The 20,206-nt window shown below is 50.3% G+C and overlaps 1 protein-coding gene across 8 annotated transcripts in view; it reads left to right on the top strand.

Annotated features, from left to right (window-relative positions):
- The window catches only part of PPP2R2C (protein phosphatase 2 regulatory subunit Bgamma), a 243,219-nt gene that overhangs the window by 148,054 nt on the left and 74,959 nt on the right, over window positions 1-20,206 (top strand). Inside the window, exon 2 of one of the 8 annotated variants that reach the window (NM_001206996.2) lies at window positions 1,715-1,843. The exons of the other annotated variants lie outside the window; for them this stretch is intronic. Coding sequence (NP_001193925.1) covers window positions 1,825-1,843 — 19 coding nt within the window. The 5' untranslated portion in view covers window positions 1,715-1,824. The remainder of the gene's footprint in view (window positions 1-1,714; window positions 1,844-20,206) is intronic. 8 annotated transcript variants of the gene reach the window in all.

The raw sequence follows: 20,206 nt of genomic DNA, 5'->3' as shown, positions 1-20,206 counted from the left end.
TTCAGTTCCCCTCCTGGGTGACCACAGCTCTTCAAAGCCCCTCACTGCTGCCCGCTTCTGCAGGATTCAGGGTTGAATGTCAGAAGTCTGCTGGAATGCTGTCGATTGAGGCACGGTGACTTGGCCAAGCCTTTCCTGGTGGCTGCTCTGGTATCTGGAATGAGCTATGGGTGAGGGCCGTCCTCTGAGTGACCGTGCCCCCCTCACAGCTGAGGTTCCCCTCGGCCTGGATCAGCGTGGGTTCTGAGAAAGCCTGCTTGCCCTGACTGGAGGCACCTGGAGGTGGTTTTCAAAGTGTCACTGTCACCGTGACCCAGACATGCTTGAGCCCCAGGCTGGGAAAGCTTTTTTTCTTTGCTTTAAAAAAGCAGAAACAGTGAAGCAAGCATAAATTTGCCTTTGAAATAAGAGGCTAAATGTCTGCCAAATGCAAATGGATTGAAACGGCCGGTGGTCTGACCTTGGGATGTTCCATTGGTAGTTTCAGAGGGGCTCTGAGCCCCCAGGCCGGCTGTAACAGTGGACATGCTGGCGCTGGCCAGTTTGATCCCTTTGAAAGCCCCCCGATATTCACCTCCAAGAGAGAAGGCCCTGGCAGGTCCTCCAGCATGCGGACGAGGCGCATGCACTGTGAGGCAGCGGCTCTGTGGGAGGACGGGGCCTTTTGTCCACTGTCCTGGCATTCCATGGCCCTGTGTCCCCAGATATCCGCACCTGTTCCTGACACCATCCCTTCCTGTCGTGTGAGCGAGATGCTCTTCTGTGGAACCTGGGTTCCTATGGTCACTGGGAGGGTGACCCTGAGTTCACAGAGAAAGGGGAGCAGGCTGTTCAGGAAAACTAAGCACATGTGGTGAGCATCCACAGGCGGCTAGGGATGGAAGGCTTTTCATCCGGGCTTTCAGATGAGGCCCCTGAAGCTCAGAGGGGTTAGGCAATTGGCCTGAGGTTGCACAGCCAGGAAGGAGTGATGGCGTAGTGATTCCCATTGGGCTCTCCCACCCCCTGTTCCTCCCTCCATCCAGCCCAGGGCCTCGTGGATACATTAGGAGCCCAACAAGAGTTCCCCTCCCTTCTCCCTTGCTTCTCTGAGCCTCGGTTTCCCCATCCATATACCAGGAGGAACCCCCTGCCCATCTCGTAGGGCTCTTTGACATGGTGAAATGAGATCCAGATACTGGCTGTCTGTGTCAACTGTAAAGTGCTGTCCTGAGTGACCAGTTGTTGTTGGTGCCTGTAGCCATCCTTGAGGCTAAAAGAGACTGCTGCTTGCCTGATGCTCCTCCCGCCAGCCTCCTGCTTTCTGCGTGACTTCCCTCGCCCCAGCAATGAACCCTGGAGCCACCTGCAAATGGGAAAGCTCTTTTGTTAGTTTCCACAGAATGCCCACCGTGCACATGATCAGAGAGTTTGCGAGCCTAGCTCAGGTCAGTGGAACTGGTTCCTTTCGTACATGTAGGAAGTAATGCAGGGTGCTGCCGAATAAATCCACTGCCTGCCTGGCCTCTGATGAACTTACCAGCTCACGCCAGTTCTAGCTCCAGCCAGTTCTAGCTCCAGCCAGGAGGAGGAAAAAGGCATACTAGGCCGTATTTTGTTTCTTTCAATGTTTATTTACCTGTACACACACACACACACACACACACACACACACACACACACACACACATACACAGGCAAAACTTATGTTACTGTCCCATGCATAATTCTCTAGATTTGGGCCACATAGATCTGGTTTTGGCCATTGACTGGCAACATGGCAGTAGCCAACTGCAGAGCCACCAGGGAGCAGCCTCATTCTGATTGAGTATAACGAAGACGCTGATGGGAAAGAGAGACACGGGTGAGCAGGGGCTGTGGGGCATCATGAGAGTTGGGAGGGTCCCCATCGTGGAGCTGGCCAGCCCTGAGTGGGAGCCCCGGCACAGTCCTCTGCTAGCTGTGGCCTTTGGCCAGTCTCCACTTCTCAGAGTCTCAGTGACCCCAGCTGCCACCACCAGGATTGTTGGGGTGTCCAAGAATGAAAATAGGGGTCATCCCTGGCCCTCAGGGGATATGTGGGCTTTCCCCTCATCATGAATGGAACAGGTGAGTGCTGTGGTGCAGGCTGAGAGGCGGCAGGGTGTTCTCTCACAGCAGGGTCGGGTCTTGCTCTGATAACTGCACCAGGACAAACATCCCCAGCCTCTGGGATGCACACCCACCAGCATCTGCCCGGCAGGTTTAATTACCGGCTGAGATGGGTTGTGTTGGGCTCACTAAGTATGCTCCATAAGTGATGAAATTGGGCAAGTTCTCACCTCTGGAGGCTCTGACCCCGAGTAGCTTTGACCCTGAGTAGCTGAAGGAACAGGCAGTTCAGCCTCTGCTTATGGGCTGTGTGTGCACACATGCACGAGTATGAGAGTGTGTCAGTGTGTATCGTGTGAATATGTGTGCAGGTAAGTGTCCATGCATATGTGTAAGTACATGACAATGTGTGTGCGAGTACATGACTGTGTGTTTGTATGTACAACTGTGTGTGCACATGTATGTCCGAGCACATTGGCGTGTGTGTGAATGTGAGTGTGAGAGCGTGTGATTTCATGACTGTACATGTTCACTCTGTTTATTCTCGGGGGAAATAGCAGGCAATCTGTAAGAAAATGACTGTGTAAGTTTCATGGGTGGAGGCTTATGATACTGTTAGAGTCTATCTTAGTCTGTTGGTGCTGCCATAACAAAGATACCATAGACTGGGTGATTCATAAACAACAGAAACATTTCTAACAGTTCTAGAGCTGGGAAGTCCAAGATGAAGGTGCCAGCAGTTTCGGTGTCTGTTGAAGGCCGTATGCCTGGTTCACAGGTGGCGACTTCCTGTTGTGTCCTCACATGGGGGAAGGGGCAAGGGAGCTTTTGTAGGCCCTTCTTCTAAGGGCACTAATCCCATTCATGGGGGCTCCACCCTCATGACCTCATGACCTCCCAAAGGCCCCACCTCCTAACACCATTATCTTGGGGTTAGGGTTCCAACATATGAATTTGAGGGGACACAGCCATTCCATCTGTGACCGTCCTCAATCAGCCTTCTCCCTGCAGGGCTGCAAATGAGGGTGCTGCCGGATTCATAAGAGAAGATACATTGTAACATCCACAGCACACAGGCACTAGGTTGGGAGCCTTTTCCAGCACTCAGATCAGGGTTCAAACCCTAACTGTGCCCTTCAGGAGCTGTGTGACTTGGGCATTCCTTCATTTTTTATTCAAGCACACAGCTGGCATCTACATGCCTGCTGTGTGTCAGGGAGATAGAAATAGAGGGGTGAGCCCCTGTGATATTAGGCAGGCAGCTTTCCCTTCCAGGGTCTCATTTTTCTCACTGGTGAAATGAGGGCAGGGGCTCCTCCCCTGGGGTTACTTTGAGGGGTCAGTAAGGTGAACAGTTACAGTCTCTTGCACAGCCCCTGAACGTTGTTTAGAAGTCAATACTCTGTTCCATCCCATCAGCTTCCTCTTCCCTTGTTTTGACTGGCAAATAGTCATCACCTTCTGAAGTCATTAAGAGAAGGTCTTTTTAAACTATTATGATGCCATCAAAACTGACTTTTGATCCAAAATATCTTTTAAACAAGCTGACCATTCAGTGAGGATTTGCCAGGCTCCTTTGTGATCCATCCTTTTGGGGCCAGGGTCTGTGGGGCCCAGAGCTGGACATCATGGAACTAGCTCTGAGGAGCTCATGTTCAGGTGGGACACAGTCTCCTGGAATCACAGTTCTAAGCACTTTCCAACTATTAACTCATTTAATCGTTAATTACTACCATTTCCCAGATGATGCACCAGGGATGTTAAGTAACCAAGGAATATGGCAGGGCCACTGGGATAGTGGGCTGTTAGAAAAGTCAGGGTGGAGGCCGGGCGCGGTGGCTCATGCCTATAATCCTAGCACTTTGGGAGGCCGAGGTGGGCGGATCACGAGGTCAGGAGATTGAGACCATCCTGGCTAACACAGTGAAACCCCGTCTCTACTAAAAATACAAAAAATTAGCCAGGTGTGGTGGCGGGCGCCTGTAGTCCCAGCTACTCAGGAGGCTGAGGCAGGAGAATGGCGTGAGCCCAGGAGGCGGAGCTTGCAGTGAGCTGAGATTGCGCCACTGCACTCCAGCCTGGGCCATAGAGCAAGACTCCCTCTCAAAAAAAAAAAAAAAAGAAATGAAAAGTCAGGGTGGAGTACAGACACAAATTAGAGAACTTAAGAGGCACCAACAAGAGTATGGGCAGTATAGGGAGAAATGGAATTAGCACGGAGCAGGGGCTTCCTAGGGAGGAATGATGGGAGGAGACACCTCCTTCCTGCTGCTCCTGCTGTGTGCCAGCCTGGGCTGGGAGCGTCACGCCATCAGCTCCAGTATTCATTCCAGCCCTGTGAGGCTGGCAGCAGGGTCCTCCTAGTGGGGCTGAAAGGTGCAATGGTGAGGAGGAGGATTGCAGGGGCTGGAGTCCTGGCCCCACCACTTCCTGGCTGTGTGACTGTGGGCACGTTACTCACCCTCTCTGGCCCTCCATTTATTCATCATTAAAATGGGATTAGGGGCCAGGTACTGGTGGCTCACACCTGTAATCCAAGCCCTTTGGGAGGCTGAGGTGGGTAGATCACTTGAGCTCAGGAGTTCAAGACCAGCCTGGGCAACATGGTGAAACTCCATCTCTACAAAAAATACACAAATTAGCCAGGTGTGGTGGCATGCGCCTGTAGTCCCAGCTACTTGGTGGGGCTGAGGTGGGAGGATTGCTTGAACCTGGGAGGGTTGAAGCTGCAGTGAGCAGAGATCGCACCACCGCACTTCATCCTGGGTGACAGAGTGAGACTCTGTCTAATAAATAAATAAATAAATAAATAAATAAATAAATAAATAAATAAAACAGGGGGAATAGTAGTCCCTACTCCATAGGGCTGTTGTGAAGATCTAGTGAGATCAATGTTCATGAAGGACTTTGGCGCTGCACACGTTTCTGAGAAAGGGTGACCTGGCCAGGCTCACTGGGGTGGTAAGTGGCAGGGATGGGCTTCTCCACGTCTCCCCTGTGATATTAGGCAGGTGTATGCAGTTGCTTCACGTCCAGCCACACCCCCTCACACACCTGCAGACCAGCCAGCATGGCACACCAGACACATTTCTGCTGCACCTTTCCCCACACAGTACCTACCACCTGGCGTGCCTCTCTGCCCATCCCCATCTTTTTGATATTTTACCTTCCACCTAAATCCGAACTGAAATCCCAGACCTCACTAGCTGGTGGGTGCATGGGGTCTCTGCTCTGCCACTTCTGGAGCTGCTCCTAGTGCATGCCCCAGTTACTCACTCGTGGCCACCACCCCCCGAGTCAGGGGTCGAGAGTCCCCTTTGTCCATGATGGGTGACGAGGGCATACCCGGAACAGAGGGCTAATTAAATCACACGCTGAGGTTTGTAGAACATGGGACGCTTCATTAGGCTCTGTGTGAACAAGTGCGCCCAGCCTGCTCCCACTACTCCAGCAGACTCGAGCCTGGTATAATCACAGCTCACACTCTGCTTCATCAGCTCGCTGAGGCTGTGGGGAGGGCTCACACCTTTGGGCTCTAAAGAGAGTGGGCCTGAGGTGTGGGATCCTGCTTCTGAGCAGGGGTGTCTGCCCCGAGCCAGCTTGCCCAGTGGTGTGGAGCTGGAGCCCCCTCTGCTTAAGTAAAGGCCTCTGAGGGACACATGTCATGCAGATGATGACACCAGACTGGCTCCTCACTTTAAACTCTACTTCCTGAGAGCAGAAGGCAGGGAAGGCCTCAGTTGGAGGTGAAAATGGAACTTTCATCCACCAGATGTTAGATAAAAGATAGGAAGGGTGTTCCAGGCAGAGGGGAAAGTCTGGGCAAAGGCTTGGAGGATAAAAGGGCACCGCATGTTTGGGGAGCGGGGCATGTTCCCTGGGGCCAGAGACCTGAGTTCTCCTCTTGGCTCTATCCCCAGCTCCACCCATGACTTGGGGTGAGTCCTGAACCCCGACCAACCTTAGTGTCTCCAGGGCTGGGATATGGGGGGGTGGCAGCCTCTGATCTGTGGTCACAGGGAGTCTCAGCTGTGGTGCTCCTGTGCCTCCCTCTTGCTACTCTCTGGCCAGTGACGATGGCACTTTACTCTCCTGCAGAGACCTGTCCCCAGTGCCTGCCTCCTCCAGTCCTCTTCCTCATGGGCTGGCTGCTCTGGGCACATCTCAGGGCAGCCCCAGAAGGTGGGCTGAGCTGTTATTTGGGGCGTGGGGTTCTCGGTTCCTCCGCTCCATGCTGGTGGGCCTGGTGCCTGGCACCACTGGCCCGTCTTCCAGGAAGCTCACTGACACCATCCTGGATGGGCCTTGTTTTCTCTCTGGCCTGGGAGTCAGCTGCACTCTCGCAGGTCCTAGGCCAAGGTGACCTGCTTGTTTCATTCTTGTCTTTCTCCTTTGCTTTATGGTATATTTTTAAGCATAAGATATATTTATTTGTAAAATAAAAGTTCATTATAAAATGATGCCTTAATTACCTTCCTGCAATATAACAATTATTTGGTTGTATAGTTCCTGTTCTCCGTATTTTGTGTAATAAAATGGACCCAATGGGTGCTGCACAATGCTGGGTGCCACAGGGAACACACACTGCTGTTTTCTCCTGGATTTTTAAAATTTTAATTCCAGCATGGTCCTTTTATATGTGCTTTCACTCTAGCTGTTTGCCTACATCTCCACAGTTTTGATTGTCCAGGGTGGTGAATAAAATGCAACACTTGGCATCTTTTAATGTTTAAAAAAATCAACAAGTATTTTATTTAAAATAAAATGTGAATATCTGTAATCCTAAAAAAAAAAAAAAAAAAGCCACAGGATCCTTGAGAGGCCCTCTGAGACAGTGACACCCCTGACCAGCTGCAGCCCCCTGTCCACTCCCCAGGCTCCATTCTCTCTACCCACTGCCTCTGCATCCTCCGCCCTTGGAGTTTCTCAGGGTGCCCCGCAGATCACCTGTGGCCCAAGTGCTCAGGGACTTGTTTAAAATTCAGATTCCCAGGCCCCGCCCAGGCTTGCAGGCAGCCAGGGCCAAGGAATCCAAATACTAATCAAGCCCACTGTAATTGCCCTGCATCTGAGGTCTGAAATCACTCGCCTGCTCTGGATTATCTGTGCTCCAGGGTGGCCTCAGTTTACACCATCCTACCTCCCCATTGAAACCTTACTGCTCACGATGGCCCAGGTTCCCACCCATCCTGGGAGAGAAAGATGATTGGCTCAGTTCTCTGGGAGGCCTGGTGATTGGCTGCCTCTAGGAGGGTGTGGCTACCTCTTGATCCAATCAGTGGAGGGCAGCATGGGGATGTGATCATGCAGTGAAGAACCTGTACCGGGGGTAGTTAGGCGCCAGGGAAGGGGAGGAGGAGAAACCAGTTCTACTGTTAGTATCAGCTCATCTAACATTTGGCCCCTGGTGGGGGTTTTTGCATCCTTTTGGGGGTCTAGGTCTCTTCTGCCATTTTGTTGGCACTTTAATTTCTTGTTAACAAACCCAAGAGCACATACAACTTAATTTTTAAATTCCCAATAATTTCCAGCATCCTCTAAGTTAGTGCTGAGCGATAGAAATGTAACGGAAGCTGTACGTGTAGTTTTAAAACTTCTGATAGCCAGGTTATGCACGTAAAAAGAAACAGGTGAAATTAATTGTAATAATTTGTATATCCAAAATAGTATAAACTGTAATCAATCTAAAGTAATTGAGACATTTTACATTCTGTTTTTCATATTAAATCTTTAAAATTCGGTGTGTGTTTTATGCTTACCATACATCCCAGCTCAGACTAGCCACATTTCAAGGGTTCATTAGCCACCCATGGCTGGTGGTCCCTGTACTGGATAGCGCAGCACTAAATGATGGCTTTACTTTGTATCCTTGGGGAAGTATGTATTTTTGAATCCATTTTCCTCACTTTTGAATAGTTTAAGAACTTCCCAGTCCATTTGTCTAAGGGTATTTGACTTCTAAATGTTGGGTTTCTTGGCCGGGCTCAGTGGCTTACACCTGTAATCCCAGCCTTTGGGAGGCCGAGGTATGCGGATCACTTGAGGTCAGGAGTTTGAGACCAGCCTGGCCAACATGGTGAAACCCCGTCTCTACTAAAAATACAAAAAAAATAATTAGCCGGGTGTGGTGGCGGGTGCCTGTTGTCCCAGCTACTTGGGAGGCTGAAGCTGGAGAATCGCTTGAACCCAGCAGGCGAGGTTGCAGTGAGCTGAGATCGTGCCACCGCACTCCAGCCTGGGCAGCAGAGTGAGACTCCATCTGAAAAACAAACAAACAAAAAAACCAGTTGGGTTTCTAGCAATAAATGCTCATAAAATCTGCTGGAGTTTTGGAGGATTAGTCCATTCATCCTGACTTGTGTCCTGTTTCTGCTGGGTCATTGTTGACTTCCCCCACTTGCCTCACACTTGTAAGGCCATGTGGCACACCATCAACATTCATCTCTGATTAAGGAGCTTGTTTCTTGTAGTGGCTGCCATAACATATTATCACACGTTTGGTTGTTTAAACAGCAGAAACTTACACTCTTCCTGTTCTACAGTCCAGAAGTCCAAAATCATGGTGTCCGTAGGCCTACGTTCCCTCTGTAGCCTGCAGGGGTGGATCCTTCCTTCTCTAGAGGCTGCCAGCATCTCTTGGCTTTATGGCCACATTACTCTAAGTTCTGCTTCGGTTTTTACATCACCTCCTCCTCTTTCCCCCATGTCTTCTCCTCTGTGTGTCTCTTATAAAGCCACTTGCCACTGCATTTAGGGCTTACTCAGATAATTCAGAATGATCTTCTCATCTCAGAATCCTTAATTATGTCTTCAAAGACCCTTTTTCCAAATAAGGTCACATTCACAAGTTCCAGGGATTAGAGTGTGGACATACCTTTTGTTTTTTATTTTATTTTATTTAATGTATTTATTTATTTTTGAGACAGAGTTTTTCCCTGTTTCCCTGGCTGGAGTGCAGTGGTGCGATCTCGGCTCACTGCAGCCTCCGCCTCCCAGGTTCAATGGATTCTCCTGCCTCAGCCTCCCGAGTAGCTGAGATTACAGGTGCGTGCCACCATACCCAGCTATTTTTTTTTTGGCTTTTTCTTTAGTAGAGACAGGGTTTTCATCCAACAGATGTTAGATAAAATGTTGCCCAGGCTGGTCTCGAACTCCTGGGCTCAAGCGATCTACCCGCATTGGGCTCCCAAAGTGCTGGGATTACAGGCGTGAGCCCTGCACCCTGCCAAGAGTGTGTACATATCTTTTGTGGGGCACCATTCAACCCATTGCAGTGAGGTGTCAGTGTTTTGACAGGAAGAAGCAGCAAAGAAGACAAATCAGCACTTTATTTTTCTAAGCTTTGAAATTCTTAAAATGATAGTGGGTTAAGAAAGACCAACTTCCCCATGGAAGGTGCTGGTCCACACTGGCTGGGTTTAGATCCCTTTGGCTGAGGTTTAGATCCCTTTGGAGGGGAGTCAATTTGAAGAAGAAGCACATCAGACACATTCAGGAAGGCAAACCCAAAGACAGCAGAAAGGCAAGAATGTCTCAAATTGTTCAAAAATAAATACGTTAGTTCTTGTAACGTGCTCCGAATAGGGTGAGGCTCAACATGAGCACTTAATAAATGCTCAGTTTAATTGTGGTAATTGTAATTCTCATTGGTATATATTTATGTCCTGATCCTATACCTCTGTTATTAATGAGACTGATAATAGGTAAGTGAAGGGAAAAAGAGACCCCCCTGCTGCCAGGAAACAAAACAAAGTATCGAGCCAAATGCCAAATCCATAAGTCACCAAGATGGGTTTTGATGACAAAACCTTTCTTTCTGGACTCCCCCTGCCCCTCCGCGAAGCCGTTCCCCATGGCCACGCTTGTCCGTGGCTGGCTTTATAGGCCCATCCTTCTTTTATATGATCATCAAGATGGCACTAATTTGGGTTTGCAAATGAGGTTTTCGTGATGTTGTCATGTCAGCATCTGGATTCAAGAGGGGCTGCTTCCCAGACCCTGACCCTCCCCTGTGGCCTGGGAGCAGGCCCAGCCCCTCCCTCCATCTAATCACTCCCCAGGAACCTGGGGGATTTGCTAATGGGCCCAGGAAGCCATAAAGAGTAATGAAAGTGCTGTGTGACTGCTCTGCACGGGGTTGCCCTTGGGGTCCCTTCCTCATAATTAAATTCGGAATCCTCCTTCTGCCTTTGAGCTGGAAGAGAGGGTTTTATCCTCCCTGTGGTCTGTTCATCCCTTCTTCCCCCCATTCATTTGTTCAGCACTTATTATCCAGTTATTTGTTTATCAAGCCACAGTTGAATGCCTGCTGAGAGCCGGTTTAGGGCACTGAGCTTCCTGTTCTCAACAGGCAGAGGTGGGAGCAGCCAGGCTGCTGTGGGAAGAGCAGAGTGGCTATGGAGCCGCCCTGAGCCAGCTCTGCTGTGCGGGAGTTCTGCGACCTGGGGAACCCGCTCGCTTGGCTTCCTCATCTGTAAAACGGGGAGACTAATATAATAGCAGCTACCTTCCAGGGGGGCTGTGAGAATTAAAGGGGACGATGGATATAAACTCCCACACACTGTCGGGCACAGGGCGTTAATAGCAGCCCTCAGTCTCATGTCCCACTTATTTTGTGCCCGACACACTTCTGAGCATCTTATGTCTATTCACTCATTTAATTTGCCCAGTAACTCTAGGAAGGAGGTCACGTCCATGGTTCTTATTTTGCTGATGAGGCAGTTGAGGTAGGCAGAGGTGCGGTGCCTTGCTCAAGATGGCACAGTGGAAGGACACGGGGCAGGGCGGACCTGACCGCAGTTGGCCCTCCCTTGCCTGCCTCTTAGCACGCATGCAGCCCCCTCGCCTGCTCTGCCCGTTGTGTCTCAGAATCTCCACTGCCATTTGCGGGTGCCCTGAATCCACCTCGCTTTTCCGTGCCTCCCTGCTTTTGTGCTTGGTGCAGACCCCTGCTTCCTCATGGGCACCTGCCTCCTTAGAACCCCCCTTGGAATCTGTTAACTACAGCTTCCTGGGCCCACACCAGCATCCCTCTGCAACTCAGAATTTCCAGGGCCCATAATTTCCTACAGGCCCCTCGGGTGATTGCTTTCTCAGTAGGCAACTTAGGGCCGTCCCTCCAAACCTTTAGAGTGAGAAGCGTGCTACCTGGGTGCTTCATAACTGATGTTGCAAATGTTCAACCAAGTGTAGGAAGTGAACACACTTTGTATCTGCAAAGTGCTGTGCATACAAGCGAGGTCAGGAGCAGCTGGCACCCGTCCCCAAGGGTTTCCATGCCTCTGGCGAGATAGGGTAGGAGTATCTGCAAGTAGCTGCCTTCTTGGCCATGGAAGAACAAGTTCAACAGGGCGCCTCTGTGTGCCTGCCCCTTGCTGTGTACAAGGACCTTGCACTTCAGGGACATCAAGGCACCTTCAGCCGGGCTTTGGGGAACTTGTGTATGGGAGGGGGGGACCTCTAAGGACCTTTCCTGTCCCAAGGAGCTCCCCAGAAGCCTGTTGCAGTGCCCAGCACCCCAGCCTCATGGTTAAGGTAGGCAGTCCCCAGGAGTCCCCTTCCTGGGACATCAACTCTCCTGGTGGGAACAAATGCTGAGCACCTCAGCATGAGATGGGTACAGTCAGGGACTCCACAGGCAGGTCATGTCACAGACAAGGTCACACAGCTAGGTGGTGGCAGGTTGGAGAGAGAGGGCAGTCCCCTGACTCCCATCCCAGTGCTCTTTTCTCCCATGACAGTGACGGGTGAAATGGCACAGTGTATCCCTGTCAGGCAGGAGGGGATTTGTTGTACTTTTTTTTTTTTTTTTCTGAGGCGGAGTTTCACTCTGTCACCCAGGCTGGAGTGCAGCGGCGCAATCTCTGCACACTGCAACCTCCGCCTCCCAGGTTCAAGCGATTCTCCTGCCTCAGCCTCCTGAGTAGCTGGGATTACAGGCACCCACCACCACGCCCAGCTAACTTTTGTATTTTTAGTAGAGGCGGGGTTTCACCATGTTGGCCAGGCTGGTCTTGAACTCCTGACCTCAAATGATCCCCCTGCCTCGTCCTCCCAGGTTGTATTTTTAATCCTCCACAACTAAATACTCATGTCAGTGGAAAGGTTCCAAGCTCTTTAAAGACAGCCTCTGCCAGCGTGCTCCCAGGGGAGGCCAGGGAAGGCTTTGGGAAGCCTCCGTGGGGGTGGGGACCTCCTGCAACCCCTGGCGCACAGCCTCACCCCGCTGTAAACAGAGCTGGGATTGAAGTGCGATTTCGGTTTCTTTTTCTTTTTTTCTAATCAAATAAAAACACCTAGGGGGCAGGAAGCGAGGAGGAAGAGGCCAGGGAGTAATTCTTGTTGCCAAACCAGTTTCTAAGGGGCTCCGCTCCGCTCCCAGCATTTCTGTCTCTGAGGCTCCGACCTCTGAGATGATCAATCCTCCCATTTCAGCCAGATGAGAATTGCTGTGGGCCCTGCCTTTTCTTAATATTTTGCATGAGAGCGACAGCCCGGCCAGCGGCAGTAATCTCCCACCCACGTGGGGAGGCACCCACTGTCCTGCCATGTGCATAATTGAAGTCTTCAGACTGCTCAGTGGTTCTAATTAGCCCAAAGTGGCCCCTTCTGGCCTCAGTGGAAATTACTGCCCTCCTGCCGCCTGGTCTTACTAGCTGATCTTTGAAGGTGTGAGTGAGCCGGGAGACGTGCAGAGCCTAGCACTCCCTCTGCTGCATTGGTCTTTCTTGGCAGGCCTTCATGGCTTTGCAGAGGGCGGGCAGTTGAGGCCTCTGTCTGCCGTTGAGGTCCTGCCTCCCTCCTCTCTGCCACCACTCTCCATGGGACAGGTGCTCCAGCTGGGCGCATGCATGCCCCTCTCACCTGAATGCCTCCCACTAGCAGTGTCTCTGCTCTTTCTGACCCTTCAGGTTATGCAGTGCCTCCTCCTCCAGGAAGTCATCCCTGATCCCCAGGCTGGGCCCTCAGAATCCCCATGTCTCCCTCCATCGCAGCCCTGGCCATGCCATGTGGTGCTTGTTTACATCCATGACTGCCCCATGAGACTGGGAGCCCCTAGGGGGCAGAAGCCGCTCCATGTCCCACCTACTCCTGGCCTAGCGCGGTCCCATAGGACATGTCTACGGAAATGGAGGGCGTGAGGGTGGGAGGAAGGAAGGAAGGCAAGAAGGAAAGAAGGAAGGAGAAGGAAAAAGGAGAAGAGAGAAAAGAGGGAGGGTGGGCAGGTAGCACCATGCCCATTTTGCAGGTGAGAACACTGAGGAGACATAACCGGGAAGTGGCAGGGCCAAGCACACCCTTGGCAGCTCATTATACTTTCCCTTCAGCCTAGCAAAGCTACTGTTCGATTTGGGGAAATGGGGCCGCTTGTATGAAGAGCCGCAGGCAAAGTGGAAAGTGCCGAGGGCTGGAAGTCAGATGGGTGTGGGTGCGCAGCCTTCCTGTGTACCTGTGGGCACCACTTACCTGCTCTGTGACCCTGAGCAGGGCACCTTTGCCTTCGAAACTTGAAGATCACAGTCGTCCAGGTGGATTCAAGGCGATGAACAGCAACAGCGCATGCTCTTCCCAAACAGTATTCTTCTTATCCTCACTGAAGCCCCAGAAGGTAGTTGATCCTTACCACATCATTAACCTCAATGCGCAGATGAGGATGCCAAAGCACAGAGAGGTTGAGCAACTGGCCCAAAGTCACACAGTGCGTGAGTGACAGAGCCAGGATTTGCGCCTGGGTTCTTGGCTCTGATATTAGTGCCATTGACTCCACTCTGTTGTGTGAGGTATGAAGGCATCCAGTACAGTGTCTGGCATCGGCAGGTAGCTTCCATGGCAGATACCCCCCCTCTCCCACCAGATTCTGCCCTTTGAGCGACAGGAAGATAAATAGCGCTGTTCTCCAGTGTCACTTGTGACTTTCCTCTGTGAGTTCATTGTCAGGGTGCTCCTGAGCTGAGCTGTGGCCACCACTCATTGGTGTGGTCCCTGGAGACACTTGGATAAAATTGTGATGACAGAGGGCTCTCAGGCTCATGAGATCACACAGAGGAGGGTGGAGCTCAAAGGGCTATCTCAGACCGGGATGCTCCAGAGGTTAGGTCTTGGTGCTGTGTTTGGCCCCCAGCTGCTCTTTCAGGCCTTGGTCTTGCCCTTGCCCTTGGTCTCTGGAAGGCTGAATAGCTGCATCTTGTTCATCTGGAAACTCTCTGGGATGAGTGACTTTAGCATCTCGGATGTTGCCATCGTAGCCCATGTGCATAACAACTTATTGTGCAAGCATGTACAGTCATATTGAAAATAAATGTAGAAGTGAAGGAGGCAGTCCAAAGACGGTTCCTGACAATACTCGGAAACAGCTTCATTAGGTATTGGCCAGAGCTTCTATTTGTGGGTTGCTTTGGCGAAACTGCTTCCTTACCATTAACCATATCCAGGAGATGGAGGGGAAAGTCTTCACCTGGGTTGGTTTTTCTCAGAGGGGCAGGCAAGCTGAATAACGGGAGTACTAACATTTCCAAGAAGATTAATGATTAAAATGTTGAATACAATTTGAGACTTGTTTTCATGTTCATATTTTATAGTCCAGAAGTTCTTTCTATAATGTCCTCATAAATATTTTATTTGGCCTTAGGTTAAATGTCAGTTTCCATGTCCTGCCACGTGCCACTTGACCAACGTGTGTGGGAACGTCTCTACTTTGGACACACTGTCTATATGAATGGAGGCCCTTCTACCCCTTGAAATGTTCCTCAACTCCCAGCTCAGTTTCCCTTCCGCATCCCTTTGACTGCATGAGCGGAAGCGAGGCATTACAGAGAGGTTTGAGGAGCCAGCCAGCAAGCTAGCAACGGCTTCAGTTCATTTCTGAGATGTTTGCATTCAGGGGTCCCATTGGCCAACCTTAACTTCTCCTTTGAGCTCTAGGCATCTTGTGATGAATGGCATAAGCCTTAGAACATGGGAGAGGCTTGGATGGGCCAGGAGCTCCAAACACTAAGGAATGTTGCTTACATCAATAGACGCCTTAGTTACTTAGGTCAATAGATACCTTAGTTGCTTAGATCAATAGATGCCTTAGTAGATCAAACACCCAAATCACCCAATGTACTTTTAGGGCAATGGTTGCCAAACTTTTTGGTCTTAGGACCCCTTTTTACACTCTTAAAAATTATTGTGGCTCCCAAAGAGGTTTTGTGTATGTGGGCTATATCCTTCAATATTTGCCAACTTTGAAATTAAAACTCAGACAGTTAAAAAGATTTATATGAATTCATTGAAAAATAAAAAGTGTAAACCCATTACATGTTAACGTAAATAATATTTTTTTTGGAAAATAACTGTGTTTTGTTTTAAAAAGTGAGAAGAGTGGCGTGTGTATCAATCTCTTTAATCTCTAGCTTAATAGATGATGGTTGGATTCTCACATCAGCTCCTGCATTCAGTCTGTTGTGATACATTGTTTGGTTGAGGTATTGTCGAACATCTATCCTCAAACAGATATGTAGTTGGAAAAGGGAGAACCCCACAATCCCCTGAAAACGTCTTGGGGTCCCCTGGAGGTACTTAGACCACAGTCTTAGAACTGCTGATTTAGGTGATGGGTGAAACTCAAGATGAAGACAAAAGAGAAAACATTTCAACCCCAAGAGACTTCAATGCATTCACATGCATTGACTCAGGATCATTAAAGCTCTAACTGAACCCAACATGGAGACAGAGCAGGAAACACAGCCATGGCTGGCTTGACTTCAGCCTCCCATCAAAGACCCCCATCTTTGGCTCAACTGCCCCCAGTGGTTTCAATCAGCCACAGACTTCCCTTGTCCAGCTGGACTGGACGTTCTGCATTTGACTGTCTGTCGGCTGCCCACTGATTTTCAGGCTGCTGAATTACCCATTAGCTCACCTGAACCCCTAATGCCACATCTAAACGGTCCTCACTCTGCCTTTCTCAGCATCCGAGAATGTCCTATAAAAGGCTTCTTCCATGGAGGTGGGCAGCCTTGGGCCTCTCCTAGGGTCAGCTCAGGCTGCCCACGCTGGCTATGGCTTCCTGCTGGCCCCTGGAAGCTGTGTACACCTGGGAGAGTGAGGTGAATGTTAATTTATTCAGCATGCAATTAATGAATTCTACCCTGTGCCTGGCACGACTCATTTCTCATGCCAAAGCTAGGGTGGATCAGACCACCTTGGACAAATCTGGATGGGTGAACTTGTGGATTGATCAATGATCTTAGTTGATGAAAAATGCACCAAATGACTGTTTCCTTTAATGCGATTGCTTGGGTGGTGGACTCGATTACGTTGAGGGGATTAAATTAGCAGCTTGCTGGGTTTCAGATGAGTGCAGGTGGCTGCTGGCACTTCCTCTCCCCTCTTTTCTTTCTTTCCCTTTTACTGCAAACGAAGACTTTTCAAAGCTTTACTAAGTACAATAAATGCCATCCCCTTAAAGTGTAGACTTCCATATTCTTAGAATTGGCAAGCTATGTATATGTTTGTGAAATCACCCCCATAATTAAGATTTGGAGCATGGCCTTCACCCACAAAACGTTTCCTGTTCTCTGTGTGGTCCATTCCTATCTCTGCCCTGCACCCTGGGTAGCCAGTGATTTGCCTTTGGTCACTGTAGGATAGTCTGCACTTTCAAGAATTTCATATGAATAGAGTCATAGATGCATGCATTTTTTGGTCTGGCTTCTTTCACTCAGTGTGGGTATTTTGAACTTCCCCCTGGTTGCTGTGTGTGTCAATGATTTGTTCCTTTTTCTTTGAGGAGAATTCTGTTCTGTGAATATGCCATGATTTATTTATTCCTTCCCCTGCTGATGAATATTTGAGTTTTTTCTAATTCTGAGCTACTGTGCAGAAAGCTGCTATGAACACGTACGTATGCACCTTTGTGAGTTTGTGAGCTTTCGTGACTCTTGGTTACAAGGATGGTTGGTTCGCATGGTAGACCCGTGCTTATTTTCACGCTTTAAGAAACTGCCTTGCTGTTTCCCACGGGGCTCTATCGTTTTTCATTCCCCCAGCAGTGTGTGAGGGGCTGTTTGCTCCACCTCTTCACCAACTCCATATTATTAGTCTTTTTAATGTTCGCCACTCTGATGGGTGTACACTGGTATCTCGTTGTGATTTGCATCTGCGTCTTGTGATGACTGATGATGTTAAGCCCCTTGCCATGTGCTTCCTGACCATTCTTGTATTTTGGTTTGGGAAGTGTCTGCCCAAATCTTTTGCCTATTTTAAATCAGGTTGCTTGTGTTTATATTATTGAGCTGTAAGAGGTCTTTATACATCCGGGCTACAAGAGGTTTACTAGATACATGTACTACGAATATTTTCTCTCATTCCATGCCTTGCCATTTTCTTTTCATAACAGTTTCTTTCACATAGCAAAGGTTTAAGCTTTGATAAAGTTCAGTTTGTCCATTTTTTGTTGTTTTTCATGCTTTTTGTGTCTTGAGAAATCGAAGTTGCAAGGAGTTTCTTCTATAATGTCTCCTAGAAGGCTCATGGTTTTAGCTTTTATGTTTAGGTAGATGATGCATTTCAATGTCAGTTTGTCAGATGGTGTAAGAGTTGATATTCATTTTGCCCCCAGTCATTTATTGGAAAGACTGTGCTTTCCTCGTGGAATCACCTGAGTGCCTTTGATGACAATCTGAGTTCACCACAGACTTGTGGGTCTAGTTCTGGATTCTCTGTTTAGTTGTATTGATCCACATGTCTGTCCTTTTACCAGGACCACACTGTCTGTATCACTGTATCTTTATATCAGCTGGGGTAAATCCTCCAACTGTGTTCCTTTATTTATTTATTTATTGCAAAGTCATTTTGGCTATTCTAGGTCTTGTTCTAACAGGAACATATTTTCGCTTATTTAATCCTTAGGACCCTCTGAAGCAGGTGTGAATATTAAGCCCATTTTATGGATAAGGAAACTGAGGTTCGGAGAGGATGAGTAACTTTCCCAGGTAACTGAGGAGGAAGTGAGCCTTGCCCCTGGTAGGTCTGGCAGCTGCACTTGCCCTTAGCCTCTAGGCAGGCTGCACTGCCCTCTCTGTGGGTTCCAACCATTCCTGGTACACACCCCTAGCCAAGAACTTGTGAGGTTCTTGGAACCTCATGCAAGAGGCTCTTGCATGAGGCCTCTTTTCCAACTTCTGTTTATCCTGTCCCAAAGAGGTCAGTGAGGGACCCCCAGGGCCGCCTCTGTTCCCTCACCCTGCACCTTGGCCGGGAGACCCCCGCAGCGCAGGGAGCATCCCTCCGGATGTTTCTTCCCAGGCAACAATATTCTGTTTATCAAGCCAGGCCCCGAGGCTGAGGCCTCCCCCTGGCCTGGGGTGATTTTTGGTTGGTGGTGAGAAGCAGCAGGGGTGCCTGGGGGCCTGGCTGTCATCGGAGCCAGCTCCCTGTCCTGGTCTCTGCTGTGCGGGATGGCATGGGTAGGGGCTTTGTGCAGGATGAGGGTCCTGCCGACTGGGACGTGGGCTTTGGAAGGGCCACGCTTCTCTTACAGGGGTGCCCTTGTGGCTGTATGAGGAGTCCAAGCTCTGAGGTTGAACACTGGGATTGAAGGATTCCTGCCAGGGTGCACTTAGGTGGCTCACTTGGCCCAGAGTGAGCCAGAGCTGGCTCGCATCAGTGCGCGGGAGTCAATAGTTACATTTTTAGGAATTTTTTGAGCCAGTTGTTAAACTGTGGGTAGCATGGAAATCAGCCCTGGCTTGAGTAGGCTCGCATCAGTGCGCGGGAGTCAATAGTTACATTTTTAGGAATGTTTTGAGCCAGTTGTTAAACTGTGGGTAGCATGGAAATCAGCCCTGGCTTGAGTATTCATGCCACGGACTTGGCAAATGCCGCAAATCAGGGCCTTCTCTCTACCCCCTCCCAGCCCCAACCCGAAGACCTGATTGTTAACTGCACTGGCAAACCCCTGGCTCTGCCTCCTGGAGCCTCAGGTTCCTTATCTGGAAGCGGGGAGAATAATGCCCACACCTTAAGGCATCATCAACACCCTTAAATGAGATCATGGGTATGAAATGCTTGTGAATAGTTTTGAGTGTGATACGCAAGTGTGAGGGGTGCTCACCACCCTGGCCATTGCCATTGTCCTCCTCATGGCAGCAGCTGGACAATGTGCCCAGGCTGGGAGTTGGTGTCTCCAGGAAAAACTGGAGGAAAGGAGCCCGATAACCCATGGGCAGCAGCTGGGTTAGGGAGGGCTCCAGACCTGCCTATCTCCGTCAGCCCTGCTGAATGTGCCTCTGTTTGCTCATCTTTATAATGGGTGCACTGATCCCAGCTGAGAGGGGTGTGGTGGGCTTTGGGGTACAGGCCACAAGGTACAAGGCATGGCCTGACTGCAGCTCCGTCACTCTCATGGCTCAGGTGCATGGCTGTCCCACAGTGGAAGGACCAGGGGCTGGCCTGATCTGCACTTCATGGCATCAAGAGCACAGGCCCTGGAGTCCACCAGGCACAGAGAAGCAGCCTGCTCCTGGGTGGAGTACAAGTTCAACCCTCGGGAGTTGTGGTTTCCCCATGTGGAAGCTGGCAGCATGCCACGCACCTGCCAGGGCTGCCGCGAGGGTTCGCACACACTGTGTGTAATGCTCCTGTGTGAGTTCCCCGGTGACCCAGGTCCCACTGGGGTGGCCGGCGTGTAACCAGGACAGGAACATCTCCAAAGCCACTCCTTGTTTGCTGCCTGGTGGCTCAAGCAGAACATCTGTGCCTGCAGGGGGCCCATAAGCCTTAATGCCCTGCAGAGAGGGGGCCTGGGGGAGGCTGGGACTCACACCAGCTGGGGAACAAGGCCTGCAGCTGGGGGGCTACCAGGATGCTCCTTGCCAGTAAAGAGGGTCCTCAGGAGATCAGCCACAGCTCAATCAGGAGGGTCTGCCCATTTCACAGGGGAGGAAAGCGAGCCTCTGGAGGCTGAGCTGCCAGCAGTCACGGGGCCAGCGCACAGCCAGAGCTGACCACTCTGTATGACTGGCGGGTCTGCGCCCTTGGCATACCACAGCAGCTCTCACACCAACAGAGGCTGGACCTGCTGATCAGCCCCCGCTGTGGGGGGTCCCGCCTCTGCCCACACCCTACCCCACACCTTCACAGGGGTGGACTG

Source organism: Homo sapiens, chromosome 4 (assembly GCF_000001405.40).
Source record: "Homo sapiens chromosome 4, GRCh38.p14 Primary Assembly".
Classification (NCBI taxonomy): domain Eukaryota; kingdom Metazoa; phylum Chordata; class Mammalia; order Primates; family Hominidae; genus Homo; species Homo sapiens.
Note: the sequence above shows the minus strand (reverse complement) of the source record. Positions and strands in the feature narration are given on the sequence as shown.